Source organism: Homo sapiens, chromosome 9, assembly GCF_000001405.40.
Source record: "Homo sapiens chromosome 9, GRCh38.p14 Primary Assembly".
NCBI classification, from domain to species: Eukaryota; Metazoa; Chordata; class Mammalia; order Primates; family Hominidae; genus Homo; species Homo sapiens.
In genome coordinates this window covers 67870931-67894392 of record NC_000009.12, presented here as the reverse complement: position 1 = coordinate 67894392, position 23462 = coordinate 67870931, and the positions used below count along the sequence as shown (strand labels likewise).

Sequence of the window (23462 nt, the reverse complement as noted above, 5' to 3'; positions counted from 1 at the left end):
AAAGTGAGCCCCTACAGTACGTGTATATTTCTGAAGATTAACTACAGACTAGGCAAACACTGAATTATTAAGAGCCAAACTGAACACCAATAAGAAAGGGAAGCAAAATTTTAAATTCTAATTCAAATAATATACTATGATAGTGTTATGTATCTAGATGGATTATCTGCTTATATCCACTTCTAATATATTTTAAGTTCCACTAGTGATAGTGGATGGATTTTTTAAATTTTAGTAACATTTACTATGTATTTATGTCAAAATAAAGTTATTGTTTGTACCCTGACACCAAAGGTCCCATTCCACAAGGTAGGATTCTCTTAATAGGCAACTGGGTTGACTTTTATGACCCCATTCACTCCCTGAACACAGACACAGAAGTCAAATGGTGACCACAAAACAGAATAAATCTTTAACCTCGGCACTGGTGACCAGCAATATAAAACTGCAACATTTGAACCACTGGCAATGATGACTCCTTTAACACTAGTTTAACTCAGTGGCCATCATTGTTAAATTGTTCACAATTTCTATTCCTTAATAATATGACCCAATATTTCATGTTACCTTCTGTATTATGAGTAAGGTTATAACAATAAAAGAGCAAGATAATTCTGAAAATGTCTTGCCTCAATTCCAAGGGTAAAGACAGCTATGAGTTACTAGAGATAGTAAGAATTACCAGAATAACTAATAGTTACTAGAGATAGTAAGAATATCTTAAGTTTCATAACTGGTTAAGATGTTTTAAAAATTAAATATAAAATTATGATCTATCGGATTCTAAAGGTATAGTCTAAAAGGTCATGTCATTTGGACTATGCTTTGTTACTGAAGCAAAAAAACAAAACCCAATATTAAACAAGAAACTTGAATTTTCATATACCTGTGGTTGCTTCTTTTCACTTCTTTCATGCCTTTCTTGCTCTTCCTCTGAAGCCACTGGTAAGGCTTGTTCTGTTGACAAATTCATTGGTTTAGTTCAAATGAACTAAGAACAGTTAGATAAAGACTATAATCTATATAAAAATAAATAGAGAATAACATTTCTTTGTATTTTATATTTTGAGAGTTTCAATGAAGCTTAATGTTTACTGAAATATTTAGTTCTTTAAGAAATACTTCTAATCATCCAAAATTTCAACAAACCACTTGGGGAGACATTAGATATCACCAGGTTCAAGCCATATGAAATCTCAGGGTCACTCACAAATTGTTCCACCCAACATAAATCAACAAAACTGTTAGAAACAAAATAAAATTTTGAAATACAGTCAAAATATACAATGTAACACTTTACTATACTTCATAACAGTATCTTTTTAACAAGACACTAATTGAGTTGGCAGTTACTAATAATTTGCAAAATTATTGTTGTTTATACCTTAATTAGTGTGCACCCCATTTTTTACATCGCAAATGTTTTCCCCTACTATTCTGAAAAATTTATTTTCATCTTTTAAGACTCAGAAAGTAGGCTGGGCATAATAGCTCACATCTGTAATCCCAGCACTTTGGAAGGCCAAAATGGGGGAACTGCTCAAGGCCAGGAGTTTAAGACCAGCCTGGGAACCATAGATAACCTTGACTCTACAAAAAATTGGACAGGTATGTTGATATGTGCTTGTAGTCCCAGCTACTCAAGAAGCTTAGGTGAGAAGATCCCTCGAGCCCAGGAGTTTGAGGTTGCAGTGAGTCTCGATCACACCATTGCACTCCACCCTGGGTGATAGAGTAAGAACTTGTCTCCAACAACAGAAAAAGAAAAAAAAAGGCTCAGAATGCTGTGTGAAGTCTTCCTTGATTCTAGCTGTCTTTCTCCACACACACAGGTGTCTGCTTCATTGGAGTTCCTTAGTACTTTGTCAACTTTTCCAGCGTCACTTTACCACCTGAACTGCACATCATGTCTTTACATGTTGATCCCCTTTGCTGTTAGACTGTAGAGGACAATCTTTTGAATCATCTTTGTATAAACAGTCTTAATTTTGCTAAATAATTACTTATTGAGTTCCTGCTAAGTGTTAGGCACTGGGGTATAAGGAAGGAAAATAAAAGCTGTCAGGGATGGCTTTCCTAAAGATCATGCATGAGCTGAGACTTAGAGAGTAAGGTTAGCCAGATTAAGTGAGGCAGAGGGCAGGAAAGGATGAGCACATGCCAGGCAGCAACAAGAGAGGGAGAGAAGCCTCCAAGAGAGTATGTATTTCTCTGCAAAAGAGGAATGGTGAGGGGGCCATTACCAGCAGCTCAGTAATTCCAGAGAAAAAGGCAGATGGGGAAAGGGCTACAGATGGAGATTTGGGCAGAAATCAGTTTCCTTTTCTTTTCTTTTTTTGGGACAAGGTCTTACTCTGTCTCCCAGACTGGAGTGCAGTGGCATGATCTTGGCTCACTGCAACCCGGCCTCCCAGGTTCAAGTAATTCTCCTGCCTCAGCCTCCCAAGTAGCTGAGATTACAGGCATGTGCCATTACCACCTGCTAATTTTTGTATTCTATTAGAGATGGGGTTTCACCTTGTTGGCCAGGCTGGTCTTGAACTCCTGACCTCAAATGATCCACCTGCCTCAGCGTCCCAAATTGCTGGGATTATAGACACGAGCCACCATGCCCAACCCAGAAATCAGTTTCTGAAATCCTTATATAAAACTTTAAGATGCTTGGACATAGGTATTCAGGAGTGGTTCACAGATCTATTTGCATTAGAGATAATTAACTCTAATTATTGTGAGGAGCATAAAATTCTGAGGCATATAAATCAATGAACAAAGATAAAATATAAGGCAGTGTTGCAAAGATGATGCAGGCCTGAGGAGATGTTTTCAGAAATATTTAGGACATAAGTATCAGTGGCCATTGTAAGCATGAATTTTTATTGAATGAATAAATGTATATATCTGGGTCCCTGGAGAAATACACTCTGCTCATTACTTTACAAATTTTATCAAATGAGAAGTAAAATAATATACATAAACTGTTTCAGTTACTTGTATTTACTTTACACTTTTTCTGTTTCAGTTTTACTGTGCCAAGGAAATGCATTTGGGTTTTGTGGTGGTTGTTGCTGTTGCTGTTGTTGTTGTTGTTGTTGTTGTTTGAGATGGAGTTTCACTCTTGCTGCCCAGGCTGAAGTGCAGTGGTGCAATCTCAGCTCACCGCAACTGCTGCCTCCCAGGTTCAAGTGATTCTCCTGCCTCAGCCTCCCGAGTAGCTGGAATTACAGGTATGTGCCACCATGCCCAGCTAATTTTGTGTTTTTAGTAGAGATGTGTTTCTCCATGTTTGTCAGGCTGGTCTCAAACTCCCAACCTCAGGTTATCTGCCCGTCTCAGCCTCCCAAAGTGCTGGGATTACAGGCACGAGCCACCGCGCCCAGCCACATATGGGGATTTTGTTTTAAAAGTTCTGTTTCCTGGATCTACCAAGCTCATGAGAAAATAGAAGCAAACAAGTCATTTGCATAGGTAAGAAACTTTGGATTTATACTTTGTCATCACTACTCTAGAAGATTATCATCATGTTTTGTAAAATAAAATGTTAATTCTAGACATAAGGGGAAAGAGAAATTAAAACTATAGGGGTGAAAAAATATTGCATAATTTATTACTGTTGACCTGACCATATGACTGATTAAGGGCACTGAATTTAACTTGTATGTGAAGTAGACCCCATATTAGCTGCAGTTAATCAATAGACCAGGTATTCTAGCAGAATTAAATTTGATGCTCCTGTGTTATCTTTAAATGATACAGCTCTTCTGAAAACCCATACTCATAGTGCATGATTATCCATTAAGACAAGGTGATGGAATGTGTGAATACAGCTGAGGAGACACCACAAGGCAAATGCTCAATGGTTCCCATTAATATTGGGGAAATCAACATTATAATACAGAAAACCATAGGCATTATTTAATATTTGGTTTTGGAAGGTATTTTTAGTGACACTGCATACAGTTGTACCTAATAATTGCAAAATTACAGATGTAAAAATAAAACAAAGGCACATTGTGTTTGAGTAGGAAATCTGTAGATGTCTAGCTGGTTTTCTATTCCAGGCCCAAAATTCTAAATATAATCATGGTACCCGCACACAAATTTATGTTAAATACCAACTTCAATGAAATTACTCTTTCTCCTCATTCTCTTTGTTATTTATATGTTGCTTTCCTTAAGGGAAGAATACAAATGCCTTGCTAAGAAGCATTTTGTTTGGTTGTAGGCTGCATAAAGGGAGTAAACACAAAGTACATTTGACCACAAAATGACTTTTTAAAAGCCAGAACTATGGTAGCATGAAGCCAACTGAGGTAATCTAGAATAAAATTTTCTATGTTTGTTTCCCTTCTTTGCTCTCTTTCTACTCTAATAACTGCGATTCACAGAGGTAATGAAGAGTATAATTCCCTGATAAAAACACAGCTCCAAGATTAATCCTTTCTTTAACTATGAAGTTCGTGTGTCCAAAGTCTTGTAGTTGCTGATTTTTGATCACGAATGGTGATACAGATATTTATCATCAACTCACAACTTCCCAAATCTTTGAAAAGTCTTACTATTGATGGTTCAACTAGTAGAAACATAATCTAAAATATCTGAAAATAAAGTTTTTATTAGAATGTAAATAGTAATACAAATTGTAATAAGGTGTAAAAGTTCTTTCTTCACTGAAGCAGGACCATGATGTCCTCTACCCCACAAACACACTACTCCCTCATGGTCTAATGTATCTTAAAAGTCCTGTAATTGCTATTAACTCAGACAAGTTTACTTAACTTGTTCTAAGCTTCTGTTATTTACTACAATTTACTTTATCACTCAACAATCTCTATTATATATGTTGTTTTCCATGAGAAATTTTTTTATTAATAATTAGGATTCTTCAGGGATAAGAAAATATTTGAATAACTAAGTTTGTGCATAAACACATTAAGGTCAAATACCCATGACAATATTGTGTGTTTCTCTGTACTAGAGACAAAAACTTCAAAAAAATTTTTAACGAATATACATTAAAAACTGCTTTCATTAAACTGAGATGATCTTCCCTCAATGCATGAATACCTTCAGAATTCACATAGACCAAAGAATTGTATAAAATATAATAGCCTTAAAAATCTTATTTGTACCTGGCACAGTGGCTCCTGCCTGTAATCCAAGCATACTGGCAAGCTGAGGCAGGCAGATCACCTGAGATCAGGAGTTTGAGAGCAGCCTGGCCAACATGGTGAAACCCCATCTCTACTAAAAATAGAGAATTTAGCAGGGTATGGTAGCACATGCAGGTAGTATCAGCTACTCGAGGGGCTGAGGCAGGAGAATTGCTTGAACCCGAGAGGCAGAGGTGGTAATGAGTCAAGACCGAGCCACTGCACTGCAGCCTTGGTGACAGAGCAAGACTCTGTCTCAAAAACACAAACAAACAAACAAAACACCTAATTGTTCCCACATAAGTCTATATTCACACAAGATCTGAAGAGTACACAACACCGTGAGACAGGACAGACATAAATTTTAAAAGTTATATTCCCGGTTTCTGTAAAAATAAAACGGTTGAATTTAAGCTTTTAAGACAAGTCAAGGAAAAGAGCAAAAAATGCAAAAGTGAAACTTGAAAGGTCATTTTCCCATCAAGGGCTCATGATCCACTGGACATTCACAAACTATATTGTTCAAAACATTAGTTCTGAATTTTGATCTGAGTATCCCTGGAGTTGCAGTTTCATTCAAAGATGTCCAAGAGGTCAAATAAGACAATATCATTTGCTATTTTCAGTTTTCTTTTCTGAGAACAGCACAACAAACTTCTTCAGAGAAATGAATTGTCCTAACTTCATAGGCTAAAGGCTCATGAGTCACAGTTCTAAGGGCATTTATAAAATATGGTGGTGCATGCTTGTATTCTGAACTTTTCAACTTTAAACTCTCATATAGTAAATATTAATAGATACAAACTGATTAAAGAAAAGCCCACTTAATCTGACATTATTTTTATTTTTCTTTCTTTCTTCATTTATCAGCAACAGGAGAGTCTAACTAAATGTGGTAAAGTGGTATAAGGGAATACAATGAAAAGTGTAAAATGAATTAAACCAGAGATAATCATATCAATGTGGATACATCTGGAAAATATAATACAAAATACACCAAAGAAAGTGGCAGAAAGGTATGTAAAGTGTATAACCACTCACATACCATTTTGGGACACAAATAAAAAATTCTGCATATTATTTCTGAGCATCACAATATAGTTAAAGATTTCAAAAGGGCATTGAAATGAAAAACAACCAACTTATGATGTCGGTAGCCTCTATGCAATCATGTTTTAAAAACCTTAACACCAAAAAGTCTCAAAATCACCATTTTAAAAGACTGTGTCTATCAGTTATAAATGAATCATTACTTTCCTCATTTTTAATAGTCAAAGATGCCACAAACACACACATACACACAGCTATATATACACCTACACACACAGTCTTGCTCATTAGAACATCTGATTGGCTTCAGATCATCAGTGTAATAACACTAGCAGCAAGCCTCTAAAGTTAAAACAGAATCTGACATGTTAATAAGTAAAGCTTTCCTCTAGGTAAAGTTCAGAACTCCAAGTAGCACTTAACTCATTGGAAATATCTTAGAGTCTCAAAATTCACTGCTTTGAATCCCTGACAGGTATAAAAATTTTATACTGAAAACTTCATGCTATTCAAAACATTAAAAGAGAAACATCTGAGTTAAAGCTTACATTTTTAAAATCTTTTTTATGCTTCTAAATTTATTTTTATTCAAATATGGATACCAACAATAACATTTATGTCAATGCCTTCCATTCAATTTTGAACAAATAGAATTAGGAATAAGAATAATGTGAGTACTTCCAATCATTGAATGTACTTATTTCCAGTATTCCATTAAATGTACCTGCTCTCAATGTCTGTACATTCTTTCTTTGTACTGCTCCTTTCACAGCAGGATCTTCCACTTCAGTGCTAGGCTGAATGGGTTTTAAAAGAAAATGATTCATAAATCATATATATTTTATACAACATGGAGTTAGTGATTCAAAAATATACATAATTAATTACCTTCAAGGAAGGATGTTTTGCAGGAGGCCCTACAAAGCAAAGGGGATATGTCATCAATTATATGTAAGTATGACAGGGCCAACCAAACATTCATGCAGTGGTACTATCGAGCTGAATTCTCATGCCTGGCTATAAAAATAATTACTTAAGGTTTTGAGGGTTCTTCTTGGCATCTTTTCATTGCCTAGGACGGCAACATGACAGAAACATAATGAGAAAAATAGGAATATAGGATTCCTAAAATGCACAGTTTACATTTCAGTAGTGAGATTATGTTTCAAATGCCTATACCTAAAATAGAAAAGCATGGATATCACCGTGAACACGTGGACTGATGAGGAGAAAAGGGACCATTAAACAGAGGAGCAAATCAAACCTGAGGGAATCGACGTCAAAGCTGATGGTGAATGTACAGAGTATTTTAACTCAACACAGCAGAGGCATTGCTGCCAGCATGCCACAAACAAATTCCCCTTGTCTTGTCACTGAGGAAATACACAGTTGGGATGACAGTTCAGGTGAATGTGTGATTCACCTCTCATCAAAGAAAGTGTTCTACATTGATCAGCTAGTATACACACTTATGAAATGACAGCTAATCAAACTACTCATTTTTCCCATGATCACATGGGCTACTGCAGCACCTACATTTCTCCTATCCCCTCATTTGGCCTTGAGTTAGAGCTCCTTGATCCACTCATGCAAGGATCACATAAAATGAACCATGTCGAATAAGCTTCTGATATCAAAATATTTATCAAAAAAGAAAACACTGAATTACCACAGACTTGCTGGATATGAATACATATTTATATTTCAAAATCAGTGCAGTATTTATTGAAAAAGAGAATTTTGGTATTCACAGAATGAATTTTGTAATATCAAAAAAAATTAGCCAAAGCATCTATATGCAACTTAATCACATCTTATTCACTCATGTCAGTGAAACTTCTCTCTCTGAGGCCTGACAGTTATCAAGTGAAATGAGCTGCTGTGGTTTACCCCAACTCTAGCACTCCCTCCTGCCTCCAGTACTCTCCACAGCAATAACCTCTTTTGTGAGACTGGGCATATGCTGAAGCAACTGGAAGTGAGTTGTCTCAAGTTTACTTGGCTTCAACTCCCAAGACCCCAGCAAATGTCTTTCTTTCCTCCCTCCGTGTCCTTTCACAATCCCTCTTCCTTTGAAAAAGTGATTTTTAGAACTGTCATCCTGATGCTTCCCTTCCTAACTGCTTTTTATGGATAATTGTGACCACTTTTTTCATCTGTATTCAGCAGTAGTATACACCTGTAATCTCTCTGTTTTCATCTCATTCTCCTTCCCCTGTGGCTAGAATCATGCTCAGAAATAAAAGGAAATTAATGCTTTCCCTGGATTCTGTTATTTTTTAAATTGCTCTCCAATGGTTCTTTTTCCAGAGTTCTCTAAAGGAAGGCTATTCCCTTGCTATTCAGAGCTGTGTCCAAGGACCAGCACCAAAAATCACCTGAGTACTCATGAGAAATGCAGACTCCCATACCTGCTGAATCAGAATGTGCACCTTCCAGAAGCTCCTCAACTCATTCATGACAATTTGAATGCCCTGTTCTACACTGATGTGCTTCCATATTGGTTTCCCCTAATTGCCCTTTTGGCCTAGCCTCAATTTCTTCCCTATTATGTCCCTCAATTTAATACTACATTATAAGCCATAATGTTTCTAATGAACTTTTAATCAGGCAATAACTTCTCGAATTAATTTCTTCTCCATAAATCACCCAACACTATTCAATTATGTTAATTTGGCCTATATGATACTATCCTATGAGGTTACAACATTTTCTATAAAAACAAATTATAGCCATACATGGCTGACCATTTTTGGTGATGTTCATCTATGGTAGATAAAACACAGGTCTGTGTGGTGAGGTGCCTCAATCCTTAATGCCTCCCCAGTAGTGAGGATGACAGCAAGAGAAGGAAAATGTTACTGTAATTCTCTGACACATTTTGGTACTGGAAGCTCACTTTATCTTCTTTCCTGTTTCTAACACCATGTTCTTCCTTCTTCTACAGATCAATTTGCCTTTACTATCCTCTCTTACTTGCCTCTGCATATGCTTTTTTATTTATTCCATGTACACTCCGCTCTCCTCATTCTTTCTTTCTCTTTATTCATTTCCTCTTCCCTCTCTCCTGACTTGCCTCAGGTCTTAGAGTATCTTAAAATGGAACTCACAACTCAGCTCCTTTAGTGGTACTCCCAATAGAATCAACTGCTGACCCTTGGTTAGAGACACAACTTATCACCATTTCACTTCTTTACTTATTATACAGTTAATAGGACACCTTCTTTAGCTATTACACTCTATTAGTGCTCATATTTTCAAAGAAACATTCCATCAAATGACTTTTTTTGTTTTGTTTTTTCTGAGACGGAGTCTCGCTCTGTCGCCCAGGGTGGAATGCAGTGGTGGTATCTCCGCTCACTGCAAGCCCCGCCTCCCGGGTTCAAGCCATTCTCCTGCCTCAGCCTCCTGAGTAGCTGGGACTACAGGCGCCCACAACAACACCTGGCTAGTTTTTTGTATTTTTAGTAGAGATGGGGTTTCACCATGTTATCCAGGATGGTCTGGATCTCCTGACCTTGTGATCCGCCCGCCTCGGCCTCCCAAAGTGCTGGGATTACAGGCGTGAGCCACCGCACCCGGCCTCCATCAGATGACTTTTTAAATAAAATACGGTTCTCACCTTCTCCTTGTCCATTGACTATTCTGTTTCCTTTTTCATGCGAAGATCCAGGTAAAGGCTCTGACACTTTCTCGGGGACACACTGCTAAGGTAATATCAAGAATTAGTTTCCATTTTAAAATTATAATGAGTTGCATCAAGAGTTTCTTATCAATCTCTTTTTATGAAACTGGGTCTCACTCTGTCAACCCAGGGCTAGAATGCAGGGGCCTGATTATGGCTCACTGTTGTCTCAAACTCCTGACCTCAAGCAATCTTCCCACCTCAACTTCCTGAATAGCTGGAACTACAGGTGCGTCCCATCATGCCATGCTAATGTTTTTATTGTTATCTTTGCAGAGACAAGGCCTCATTATACTGCCCAGGCTGGTCTCAAACTCCTGGGCTCAAGTAAATCTTCCACTTCTGCCTCTCAAAGTGTTGAGATAAGCAGTGTGCACCACCACACCCAGCCCTAATCAATTTCTTTAAATCAATCTCAATGTTGCCCAGGCATGGTGGCTCACACCTGTAATCTCAGCCCTTTGCAAGGCCAAGGTGGGTGGATTGCTTGAGTTCAGGAGTTTGAGACCAGCCTGGGCAACATAATGAGAACACATCTCTACTCAAAAAATACCAAAAGGAGTCAGGCATGATGGTGTGCGCCTGTAGTCCCAGCTGCTTGGGAAGCTGATGTGGGAGGATCACTTGAGCCTGAGAGGTGGATACTGCAGTGAGCCAAGATCATGCCACTACACTGCAGCATGGGCAACAGAGCAAGACCCTGACTCCCCAAAAATTTCAATTTAAAATATGAGAATGAAGAGAGATACAAACAAAAAACAAGCCTAATTGGTCAATGAAATATGAGCTTAAGCCAAGAAAGAAAAGAAACAACATGAAGTACAATAAAGTACATGGGGAAATAGATCTATAACAGAGCCTTTTGCTCTTTCATATCCCTGATAATACTAATTAATATTTATGCTACAATTAGTTTTTTGTAAGTACTTCTGTGATACAGTTTATTACTATAAGACATTCAATTAGCTAAATATGGTCATCGACCACTACCTGAAAGAACATTATTATAACACAGAGAGAAAACTAGAACTTTCAATCAACTTTCCACCCAGAAAAAAATTGGTCACCAGAATTCTAAAGAGTAACGTATGGCAGACACATGAAAAAATGCTCATCATCACTGGCCATCAGAGAAATGCAAATCAAAACCACAATGAGATACCATCTCACACCAGTTACAATGACGATCATTAAAAAGTCAGGAACCCACAGGTGCTGGAGAGGATGTGGAGAAATAGGAGTACTTTTACACTGTTGGTGGGACTGTAAACTAGTTCATCCTTTGAGGAAGACAGTATGGTGATTCCTCAAGGATCTAGAACTAGAAATACCATTTGACCCAGCCATCCCATTACTGGGTATATACCCAAAGGATTATAAATCATGCTGCTATAAAGACACATGCACACGTATGTTTACTGCGGCACTATTTACAATAGCAAAGACTTGGAACCAACCCAAATGTCCATCAATGACAGACTGGATTAAGACAATGTGGCACATATACACCATGGAATACTATGCAGCCATAAAAAAGGATGAGTTCATGTCCTTTGTAGGGACATGGATGAAGCTGGAAACCATCGTTCTGAGCAAACTATCGCAAGGACAAAAAACCAAACACTGCATGTTCTCACTCATAGGCGGAAATTGAACAATGAGAACACCTGGACACAGGATGGGGAACATCACACACTGGGGCCTGTCGTGGGGCGGACAAGGGGGGAGGGATAGCATTAGGAGATATACCTAATGTAAATGATGAGTTAATGGGTGCAGCACACCAACATGGCACGTGTATACACATGTAACAAACCCACATATTGTGCACATGTACCCTAGAACTTACAGTATAAGAATAATAAAGAGTAATGTATGGCTTGAAAAAGTATATTTAATAAAACATGAGTTGGAGCTAATAAAAAGCTTAAGAAATGTTAATCTAAAATCTCAATGTTAAGATTCCAGTTGAATGATACTAGAAAATATATTGTAACCCTATTTGCTACTGATGACCTATTTCTATTTTATTTCCTTTTTAATTATGGCATAATTTCTCAACATAACATATCAAAACTTATACACCCTTAAATATTAAAAAATACAATGTAAGCAATATTTTAAATACAATATTTAATTATTAGCTACATTAGGTTTATTATATTACTTATAACATTCCATTATATAAAAATTCATTTGTCTATTTATTCAGATTAAACATTATTAAGGCTGAATATCTTATGCCTGTAACCCAGCACTTTGAGAGGCTGAGGCAGGCAGAACACTTGAGCCCAACAGTTAAAGACCAGCCTGGGCAACAAGGCAAAACCCTGTCTCTACAAAACTCAGCTGAGCATGGTGACACAGGTCTATGGTGACATAGCTCTATTGTTTAAACTACTTGGATGGCTGAGGTGTGAGGATCACCTGAGCCCAGGAAATGGAGATTGGAGTGAGCCAAGATCTCACCAGTGCCCTCCAGCCTGGGGGACAGAGTGAAACCCCATCTCAAAAAACAACAAGTAAAATGCTTCTTACATGGAAGACTGTATTCTAGGTACTCCAGGATACACACAAATATGTTTACTGACCTCCAGTAGCTTACGGTATGCAGGAGCTTCCAATGATTATTTAAACAACTAAATAGAAAACCTTCTGAAATTCAAAATTTCAGAATATGATATGAGGACTTTGAGTGGTTATTTTATTTTTTAAGATGTAGTCTTGCTCTGTCACCCAGGCTGGAGTGCAATGGTGCGATCTTGGCTCACTGCAACCTCCGCCTCCCGGGTTCAAGCGATTCTCCCACCTTGGCCTCCTGAGCAGCTGGGGTTACAGGCATGCACCATCACGCCTGGTTAATTTTTCTGCTTTTGTTTTGTTTTGTTTTGGTTTTGGTTTTTTTTAGAGACAGGGTTTCACCACGTTGGCCAGGCTGATCTTGAACTCCTGACCTCAGGTGATCTACCGACCTCGGCCTCCAAAACTGCTGGGATTACAGGTGAGTCTCCACGCCTGGTGAAGTAAATATTTTAAATAAACTACAATGACAAAATTATGATGATAAAGTCTTACCATCCATTGGTATTAAGAGTCTCTGCTTCTAGAACTGGTTATTTGCAGCAAAATACATGTTATTCAATTAGATGAAGTGCCTTATATAAACTCTTCATGGACAACTCATAAACCACACAAAAATTCCTTTGCAATACACATTTTGAGAACATAAATTTAAATTTCTATATTTCCACAATTTATATTTTTAAATCAGATACGATGTTGCCCAGGCTGTTCTCAAACTCCTGGGTTCAAGCAATCTTCCTGCCTCAAATTCCCAAGTAGCAGGGACTACAGGTGTACACCACCACACTCAGTTATTTTTCTACAATTATTAATTTTTTTGTCTCACTACAGAACCAATAATATAAGTAGAAAAACAATCTCTCGTAAAAACAATATGATACCAAAATAATAAGTTTCCAAGAACAAAAGCTATATGCTATGTGCTGAATATTCTTGCCACTAAAAATCACCAGGAGGATCCCATGATTACTGCAAATAATTTGATCCACTGAAGATTTATACAGGCATAAATATTAAGAAAGTCACACTCGTATGATTTAAAAGTCAAAGTATTAGTATTTATCCAAATAAACCTTAAGCAAATTTCATATTTCCTCTATTGGAGAAAGCATTTCCTAATGTGATTTTCCTGTCACTACTAATTTTCCAGTTCATTTTTTTTCAGCTCCCACCCTGTCACAGTACTTATCAATCTTTGTTAGTTACCAAAGTTAAACACATTTTTTGAATCAACTAGCCATATGTATGTTTTTCTCTGACCAACTTTCCATTACCACCATAAAACAATGATAGGTAAACCACTGCTAAATTTGAAAAGTAAATACTATGCAAAAGTACATTCAGAGTGAGAAAATTAATTTTACAAGAGACCACTTTACCTTAGTAGCAACATTCAAGTCTTTGTCATCCGATGCAGGCAATGAATCCACACGCAGTTCATGGAAAATGCTTGAGAGCAAAAACACACAACGAAAATGAGCAAGTTGATTTCTTTACAATTTTTTTAACTGCCAGTTTATATCCAGCTTCCCCCTCAAAAAAGGAAACCATAATCTAGGGAAAGGTCAGCAATCTATATATTAAATAGTGATTCTTGATATAATTAAAATATGTCCTCTTCTAAAAATAGATTTTAGTTACCTATTTCTGCCTCCACTTGTCTAAATCTATAAAATATTCAATGAAAACTAACCTTGAGCTTTATAACAAATAGTGACAGTCAATAAATTGGCAGAGCCTGACAATGATTTGCCCTCACAAATTATCTGTCCTGAAGCTGAACTTAAAATTCAATTAATGGATGACATAAATTTTGTTACCTAAACTGGAAGAAAATTAATAACCTAAAACAAGGTAGAAAGATCCACTGTCTCTTTTCCATGATCTGTCTCTGGATAAAAGACTAATCTGCATCACTTCAATATGGCAGTCTTGATTCCTCAGCATGGAACCCACTTAGGAAGGTCCTATTGCTTTCCTTTGCCCTAAATCAGTACAGGAAAGCCCCTACAATATTTGAAATGTATGAAAGCTAAATGTACAGAAGTCAAATAACAAAGGTGTATGTTCTTATTGAGAATACTTTTCCCAGAAAGATTGAAATATTAACAATTATAAAATCCCATTATTTTCACCCTATAGGTCCTACCTTATTCAGGTCCACATAAACTAGCAAGCCCTTAAAACTTTTCATAGGCACTCAGACACCCAAGGAGAGAGACTGTCAGAAAAAAACAGAGTCCTGGTAGGTGTACCTCTATTTCCCTAAGTACTCTCTAAGTATCTGTCTTCCTATGGGCTCCCACTTCCAGATTCCACTTCTGCAGGGCTCCACAGAAGTCTCCAATCTTTAAATCTTCTGTCTATGAAAGCACAGATTCCTGAAAGGATGGCCTCAAATGACCAGGACTAGGAGCTCTCTATATCCCTGCTCCTGAAAAACAAGCTAACTGGAGTCTCCATCACCTGTCCCCAGCTAGACACACTACCAACTACCCAACTGAACTCCATGACTGATTTGCCAGCCAATCATGCCCCTGACCCAGCCCACATGGACATGGGAAGGACATCAGTGAATCGGGAAAAGAGGCAGAGGTGAGGAGACACCTGTACTGGGCCACAGATCTATGTAGTTCAGCAATCTCCAGCCCCTTAGTACTCCAGGGGCTCTAAGCCACCCCTTTCTAAGTCAGGATGGAAGTAGATGACACCACATTTCTATCTGCTGCAGACGCTCCTCCCAGTGTCTCAAAATGTTTTAGCATCTTTCAGTAAAAATCTTCAAGTTTGTCAGTCCTTGATTTAAAAAAAAGCAGCAAACTTTTTAGAGCTCCCTTGAACCTTCTATTTTAATGTGCCTTCGTAGATAATTCCCAACATCTTGTGTCCTTCATTTTTATAATTTATCTTTATCAAACTTGTCATAAACCCCAATATTTTGATCTCTTATAGAAGAGTCTGTACTCCTATCCAATCCAGTGTTGTTTATCTTCAAACTTGGACTTCCCTGCTCATTCCATTCTTATCTACTTCCATTGGGTTCCCCAGCTAATTCCATTCTCATTCTACCCACAGACTCACTCCTGTTTGTATTATTAAAACACACGCCAATAGGATATAAAAAGAAGCAAGAGTACTGGGCTTTAACATGAGTTCAAATCTCATTTCTGCCAATTCCTATGTCTAAAAAAAAGCATCCTAAACTCTTTGAGCCTCACATTCTCTATCTAGAGAATCATTTGACCAGAATGTTCAACACAGGTAAAAATACTAGAAGGTATTTTAATTCATTCCAAGATTCCTTAAAATTCTGTAATTCTATGTCCTCTTGATTCTGTCTATAGAAAAACTTAGAATACATAGCCAGCAGAGTTTGAAAAAATAATAGAACAAAAGAAATACCAAGAAAAGCAGAGAAGAAAGTTTTAAAAAATGAAGGCAAGATTATAGAAAAGTCACGGAAAAAGCAACAAGACTAAAAAATGTATTATGGAAGTAAGCAGAAATACTTGCCTAAATGGAAAACCAAACTGGGAAGTCAAATAATTTGTCTCTAAGACTTGCCTAAACTTGCTTTTGTAAAACTTACACCCCTATGGCAAAGCTAAGTAAGATCTGCCCTAGAGCCTTTGATGGTAAAAATAAGATACTGGTTACCACTGAAATTGTCAAATTTATTAGGACAAACTCTTGGACTAACCACATTCTAATGATAAACTTAAATGAGAGTTCAAGGTATTTAAACTCTCATTAATTTAGACATTAATCAAATTAATCAATCTGACTAATCTGATTCAGACCTATACCTTGATCCAAGGGCTGCACAGATATCTGTCAATCTATGCTGAGGAGCAAGAGACAGGATTTGGAAGGCAGGCAGGCTGATGGTCAAACTGTAGGCCAGCTACTTTGTTAACTATGGGATCATGAGGCAATTAATCAGCTCTAATCCATAGTTGTTTATTTAATAAACAGTAGGTTACAGGAACACAGATGTTGTGATGGCTTTATGAGATGATAAATGCATAGAACATATTAGGATGTCTAGCCCAGAATACAACACTCAACAGATACTCATTTCTTCCATCTATATTTTCTTAGTTAACATAATTTTTTAAATCTATAAAATCCTACCTGACTGCAGATTCATCAGAACTTCCAACATCTATTAAAGAAAAAGGTAAAATGCATTTTAAATCAATAACAAATGTACAGAATATTAAAAGCATAAGAATGCACAGTGATGCATCCCTCTAATCCAAACTACTTGGGAGGCTGAGGCAGGAGGATCACTTGAGGAGCCCAGAAGTTTGAGACCAGCTTGGGAAACATAGTAAGACTCTACCTTCATAAAAAAATTGTGCACACTTGTATGTATGCTTTAGATCCTGTTTTTTGTTGTTGTTGTTTTTGTTTTGGTTTGGTTTGGTTTTTTAAAGCATAAGACTGATGCTTTGTTACAAAGCATTCCTTTGGGAGCATGCCTGGGACCTTATTAGAATTAACATTCGTTATACATATTGGTAGGTAATTAATGCAGTAAGAACTCTTCCCTTTGTATTTATTAGATGCAAAGAAGAATAAATTTATTAAAATTTGGTATCTACAAGTGAACTGCAGTATGCAAGTCATCTTAGCCAAACCCTATGAGGTTGAGTAAAAATGGTATTGTTAGCAGAACAGGTGTGATGAGTCACCAGTGTCAAAGAGCATGATTTCTGGACCAAAATATGAGGCGCCATTAAAACAGAGTACACAGTAGTACCCCTTATCCACTATACGTGCAGAAAGACATACTTGACACATTTTTCTCTGCTGTCACACCACAGCAACAATCATCAACAAAGAAGGCTTCTGTGACCAAATGTGTGGAGGGTTTTTCCCCACCAACAAGCAAGCAATCATTCCTGCTGATGACATAATTCAATTCTCACACCTTATCTGCTGGTAACATCAGATTCAATTTAATTTATAAATTAAACTTTAGCATAGATATGTATGTATAGGGAAAAACAGTTTGTGATTCAGTACTATTCATGGTTTCATGCATCCACTTGGGGGTCTTGGAATGTATCTCCCACAGTTAAGGGGGAGCTACTGCACTTATTTTGTTATAACACAACACAGCCTCTCTAGCTCTTCAGTTCAAACTGCTCAGTTTAGAATAAAACACCCTAACACCAGATGTCAGCAAAACATAGGAATCAGACCAGAAACAGGAATCCTTGCAAAGACTTTCCAGCCGCTAGTGGAAAAGAGCTCAAAAGAGATCAATGTATTACTCTGGCTACTACTCTTTGGGGAAGGTGCTGGGTGGTTTACTTAGTTGTAGCTATTTGCTCTGCCCTACATATAGCAAGGCCCAAATTCACCTGCCATTTTACCTCCCACAGAAAAACCACTGGAAAGATCACTCCTTTAAGAGCTTATACGCTAGGAACCACACCTCACATTCAGAGAGAAGCTGAAGAAACACCAGGGAGGTGTGGCAGGCTGCTGGACAGTACTATATGATGTGAAAAATATATAGAAAGAAAACCATCAATGCCCTTTTACTACCAGAATGTTCCAGTGCTTGCCCTTCTCCCTAGTAGGGGAAAAAAATTCTTTTTCACCTCACAGAAAGCAAAACTCTCTTGCTATCCCTCATGACAGAATCTAGTTGTAGGTGAGTCACATCATCATAATACAGGCTGTTGTCAACCTCATCCCTCAAAGGAAGAGGATCAGTGAGGAACCTATGTACTTACCTATAGCATTCACTGTCTGGTCTTATTTCCAACCGAAGGTAAGTATGAAAGACTTTGTGATTCCAGTTTTATAAAGTACAACCCCTTGCACTTGTCCCCTTCCATTGATAGAGAATCTATCTGGACCCACCTCACAGAGCAAGATGCTCCAGTTTGTGCTGTGTGGTACAGCATGGTGTCCTTTTCCTCAACCCTTTCTATTATGTGCCACATATCTATACAAATCATGTTTTCTAAGTATGTAAAGCATATGTCATCAGAATATATCATTCTTTACAATGATAAAGAAGCAAAAGAAAAACAAAAGGACAAAGAACATCTTAAATGACTACATTCAACTGCCATGGAGCTTTAATTTTTTAACTATTCAAAAAGATATCCACTGTATTATTCCAACTATGTGACTCTTCTGAAAAAAGTAAAACTATGAAGACAGAGTAAACATCAATGGTTGCCACGAGTTACTAGGGAGAAAGGGAAAGATGAACAGGCATAGCACAGAGAGTTTTTAGGGCTGTGAAACTGTTCTGTCGATAATATTACAGTAATAGATACATGTCATGTCATTATACACTTGTCCAAATTCACAGAATGTACAGCATCAAGAGTGAAGCCTGATGTAAACTATGAACTTTGAATGATTATAATGTGTCAATGTAAGTTCATCAGTTGTAACAAATGTACCACTCTCTGGTGGAAAATAGTAATAATGGGGGAGGCTATGCATGTGTGGGAGGCATGGGATATATGAGAAATCTCTGTACCTTCCTCTCAATTTTGCTGTGAACCTAAAACTGCTCTAAGAAATAAGGTTATTGATTTAAAAAAAGATATTCAGCTGGGCTCAGTGGCTCATGCCTGTCATCTCAGCACTTTGGGAGGCAAAGATGGGTGGATCACCTGAGGTCAGGAGTTCAAGACCGGCCTGGCCAACATGGCAAAACCTCGTCTCTAATAAAAATACAAAAATTAGCTGGGCATGGTGGCTGGCACCTGTAATTTCAGCTACTCAGGAGGCTGAGGCAGGAGAATCGCTTGAGCCTAGAAGGTGGAGGTTGCAGTTAACTGAGATCGCACCACTGCAATGCAGCCTGGGAGACAGAGTGAGACTCCATCTCAAAAAACAAAAAGATATTCACTGTCTATGCATCCCAGGATCTCCAGAACAATTACAATAAATAAATAAATAAATAAATAAATAAATAAATGGCTGGGGGCAGTGGCTCATGCCTGTAATCCCAGCACTTTGAGAGGCCGAGGTAGGTGGATCACCTGAGGTCAGGAGTTCGAGACCAGCCTGACTAACATGGTGAAACCCCATCTCTACTAAATACAAAAAATTAGCCAGGCATGATTGTGCATGCCTGTAGTTCCAGGTACCTAGGAGGCTGAGGCAGGAGAATCATTTGAAACTGGGAGGTGGAGGTTGCAATGAGCCAAGATTATGTCATTGTACTGCAGCCTGGGCAACAAGAGCAAAACTCCGTCTCAAAAAAATAAGTAAATAAAATAAAAAATAAAGATATTCACTGAACCTGTTACTATGATATATTTAAGCAAGACACGGTGACCCTAAAAATTAGAGATCATTGAAGACCAAAGTAACAACATGTGGTCATTACTTCTCAAATTGAACTATATAAAATATATAAAATAAATAAATTTAATTGCATGCTTAGGTAAGAAAATATTGATAAAAATAATTGAATATTTTATCTTATTTCATAATTCTAAACAGGGATTTAGCACAATATGAAAACTAGACTATTCATGTAATCAAAATAAAAGACAATTTTTATTCTAATGTTAACTCAGAAATTATTTTGCTTATTTAATTTAACAATTTTACTGAAAGGTTAATGAGATAAATAGGACAGATTATAATTACCTAACATTGCTATGGTAACTTATATACAAATAGCTGTTCATCACCAAAAGTCAAAAAAGTAACAAGCACTGCAACTTAAGATGGATCATACAACAGAAATTAGTACCAAGTTACCTTATCTTATAATATTATGTTATTAAAATGAAATTTTAAAACAACACCAAAAATTAAGTTGGGGTTACAAGTGTTGTGCAGAAAAGATTTCATATAGCAGGCAAGAGGCTGCCATCCTTAGAAAGGCCTGCATGCAAGGCTGGCCCTTGGCTGGTGTTTAGGAAATTGGAAATGGGAGGGTTTCCACCATTCCCTGAGAAGAGTGGCTCACTGTGTCTAAAGTGCTTATAGAAACAGTGTATTTACTCTAAACAGCTGCTTTCCTTGTAAGAGTCTGGAATTTGGGTACATGTGAGGGAGAGTAACCTCCATAGAAAAACTTGGGCACTTAGTCTCTAATGAAACTCTGGTACTGGTAGACATCACTGCACATATGTTGTCAAAATGTGAGCCTGGGAGAATTAAGCAGATCCCGGGAACTCCACAGGACAGAACTCCTGGAGGCTTGTGCCTTGTTTCCTCCAGAATTGACCACATGCACCTTTTTCCTCTACTAATTTTGCTTGTCCCCTTCCTTGTTATCAATTAAAGATCTGAGTATGACTATTTGTTGAGTCCTGTGAGTCCTTCTAATGAACCACCAAACCTGGGGTGGTCTTGGGAAACCTTGACACAAATTCATTGTGTAAGATTTGTATTAAGTTGATATGATACGTGTAACTGTAATCAGATGGTTATTTCACAGAATAACTTTACCTAATCTGTTTTTCTTTTCTTTTTTTGCCTTGATATTTGACTTGGAGATTCTTGTATTTCTATATCTATCCAATTGAATAAAGCCATAGAAGGAATAAATGAAAAAATAATGTCAGAAAATAATGTGAAATGAGCAGCAATCCTCTTTTATCTGAATAAAAAATAGAGAATCTGGGTGATTGACAATATGTTCTACAATATGAATGTTTCTAGAAAAAAAATGAAAAAGTGGTCAATTTTCTGCAACTCAACTGGGCTTCATTCCTTTTTATAATAATTTTGAAGGCCAGGTGCAGTGGCTCACACTTGTAAATCCGAGCATTTTGGGAGGTTGAGGCAGGAGGATCACTTGAGCCCGGAAGTTCCAGACCGGCCTCGGCAATATAGTGAGACCTCATCTATTAAACAAACAAACAAACAAAAATCCCTTAAAAAGAAAATTAGCCAAGTGTGGTAGTGCATGCCTGTAGTCCAAGCTACTTGGGAGGCTAAGGTGAAAGGATCATTTAAGGCCAGCAAGCAGAAGTTGCAGTGAGCCAAGATGGCACCACTGCACACCAGTACTGACAACAGAGGGAGACCCTGTATTAAAAATAAATAAACAAATAAATAATTGTGTATCAGGCCAGATGTAACCACACAAAACTGTAGTCCCAGCTACTCAGGAGGATGAAGTAGGAGGACTGCTTGAGCCCAGGAGTTCAAGGCTACAGTGAGCTATGATTGCACCAATGAATAGACACTGTATTCTAGCCTAGGCAACATAGAGAGACCCCATCTCCTATGATAATAATAATTGATTAATTGTGCATCATTCAAGTAAATTGTATAACTGGAGAAAAACATATGACTATTGAATATACTATTATAGTCTACCACTGACCATAGAGTTCCTGTTTACTTGCTTCTAATCTTTTTCTTCATTTCTCATAAAACTGAAAACATGATTTAAACCCATTAAAGGCAGTTCATCACAAAACAAGTCAAAAAGTCAAAAGAATTGCATCCAAACAGTAGGATGCGCTATCCACCGCTCTCTGTGAACAGTTGGATTTGGTCATTAAGAATCAGCAGGACTTTTAACTTTGTGTCTGTGTGCACAGGTGTGTGCACATGTGCGTGTGTGTATGTGTATGTATGTAAACTATGACAGATAAAATCATTTTGCTTGTGTACGAATATGTAATATAACTTGTGCTTCTCACAAAGGAATTGCTTTTCCGTCTCCTGTGCTCAGTAGCTGTCTTCAAAAAATAATCTCCTATTTGTATGGGTGCACACTGGTTCAGTTCTACAGTTCTTATTGCCATTTACTTATGGTACCAGAAAGGGATTGCTGAGTTCCTGGTTCTAAAGATAGTTACTTTCTTAGTGACACAAATCAATATGTAATACAGTTCACCCTTGAACAGCAAGGGTTTCAACTGCAGGGATTCACTTATATGCAGATTTTCTTCTGCCTCTGCAACAGAGAGACAGCAAGATCCACCTCTCCTCTTCCTCCTCAGCCTAATCAACCTGAAGATCATGAAGACCTTTGTCAGGACTACTTATGCTTTATGAAAAGTCAATATGTTTCTCCTGATGATTTCCTTTCTAACAGCTTCATTTCTCTAGCTTATTTTATTGTACGAACACAGTATATAATAATGCAGCACAAACAAAATAGGTGTTCATCAACTGTTTATGTTATCAGGAAGGCTTCCAGTCAATTGTGGGCTATTAGTAGCTAAGGTGAAGGAATCAAAAGTTATACTCAGATTTTCAACTGCACAGGGATCAGAGTCCCTCACCCCCACATTATTCATGGGTCAACTGTAGTTATTTGTTTACTAAATATAAACAATTTATTATAAAAATGAAATCGAAGATCCATTTGTATAACAAGTCCAATTTGTTATAATGTGACTATAGAGGAAACATACAACATACTAACTTAAAAATCTTTTTTCTTATTTATGCAAAAATATTATATAGGATTTTAGGGATCATAATTAATAAATGAATGTTTTCAGACAATAATGTTTGAGATTATAAATTAGCTACAACTACCTTCTTAAATAAATCTGAATTTCAAACTAAAGAAGTTAAATTTTAAAAATTAATTTACATATGTATATACATATATACACATTCAATTTACACATATTTTTAAACTGGTCTTTTTTGACTGAAACTACCTTAATCTTACATCTTACTTTGTATTTTCTTATCAAGAGTAGGACCACCAAGAGAAGTAAGAAATTCACAATCAGAAGTCTTACCTGATTTCTCCTTTTTAAGTATCTTCTTTTTATGTTCCAAAATTTGTTGTTGAATTCTATGTATACAAAAGTAATAAATAAAATTGCTATTTTTATAATGAAATAAAAAATATTCACCAAACATATTAAATTCCAAAACACTTTCAAGCAATATCAGACCTAATATCAGAATTTTAATGTCCCATACACTTCAAATTTGTAAACCTTACAAGCTTATTAAGCTTATAATTAAAGAAGAAAAGAAAGTGAAGTACTCATAAATGGAGGAAGCACAGCTCAGTA

The 23462-nt window shown here is 37.1% G+C and overlaps 1 protein-coding gene across 1 annotated transcript in view; it reads right to left on the bottom strand.

Annotated features, from left to right (window-relative positions):
* ANKRD20A1 (ankyrin repeat domain 20 family member A1) overlaps nt 1-23462 on the bottom strand; it is a 43464-nt gene that overhangs the window by 8002 nt on the left and 12000 nt on the right. Inside the window, exons 6-12 of the mRNA NM_032250.5 lie at nt 23181-23236; nt 16603-16633; nt 13848-13917; nt 9823-9907; nt 7089-7117; nt 6925-6997; nt 887-957 (exon numbers count right to left, since the gene is read on the bottom strand). Of these exons, the coding sequence (NP_115626.2) occupies nt 887-957; nt 6925-6997; nt 7089-7117; nt 9823-9907; nt 13848-13917; nt 16603-16633; nt 23181-23236 (415 nt within the window). The remainder of the gene's footprint in view (nt 1-886; nt 958-6924; nt 6998-7088; nt 7118-9822; nt 9908-13847; nt 13918-16602; nt 16634-23180; nt 23237-23462) is intronic.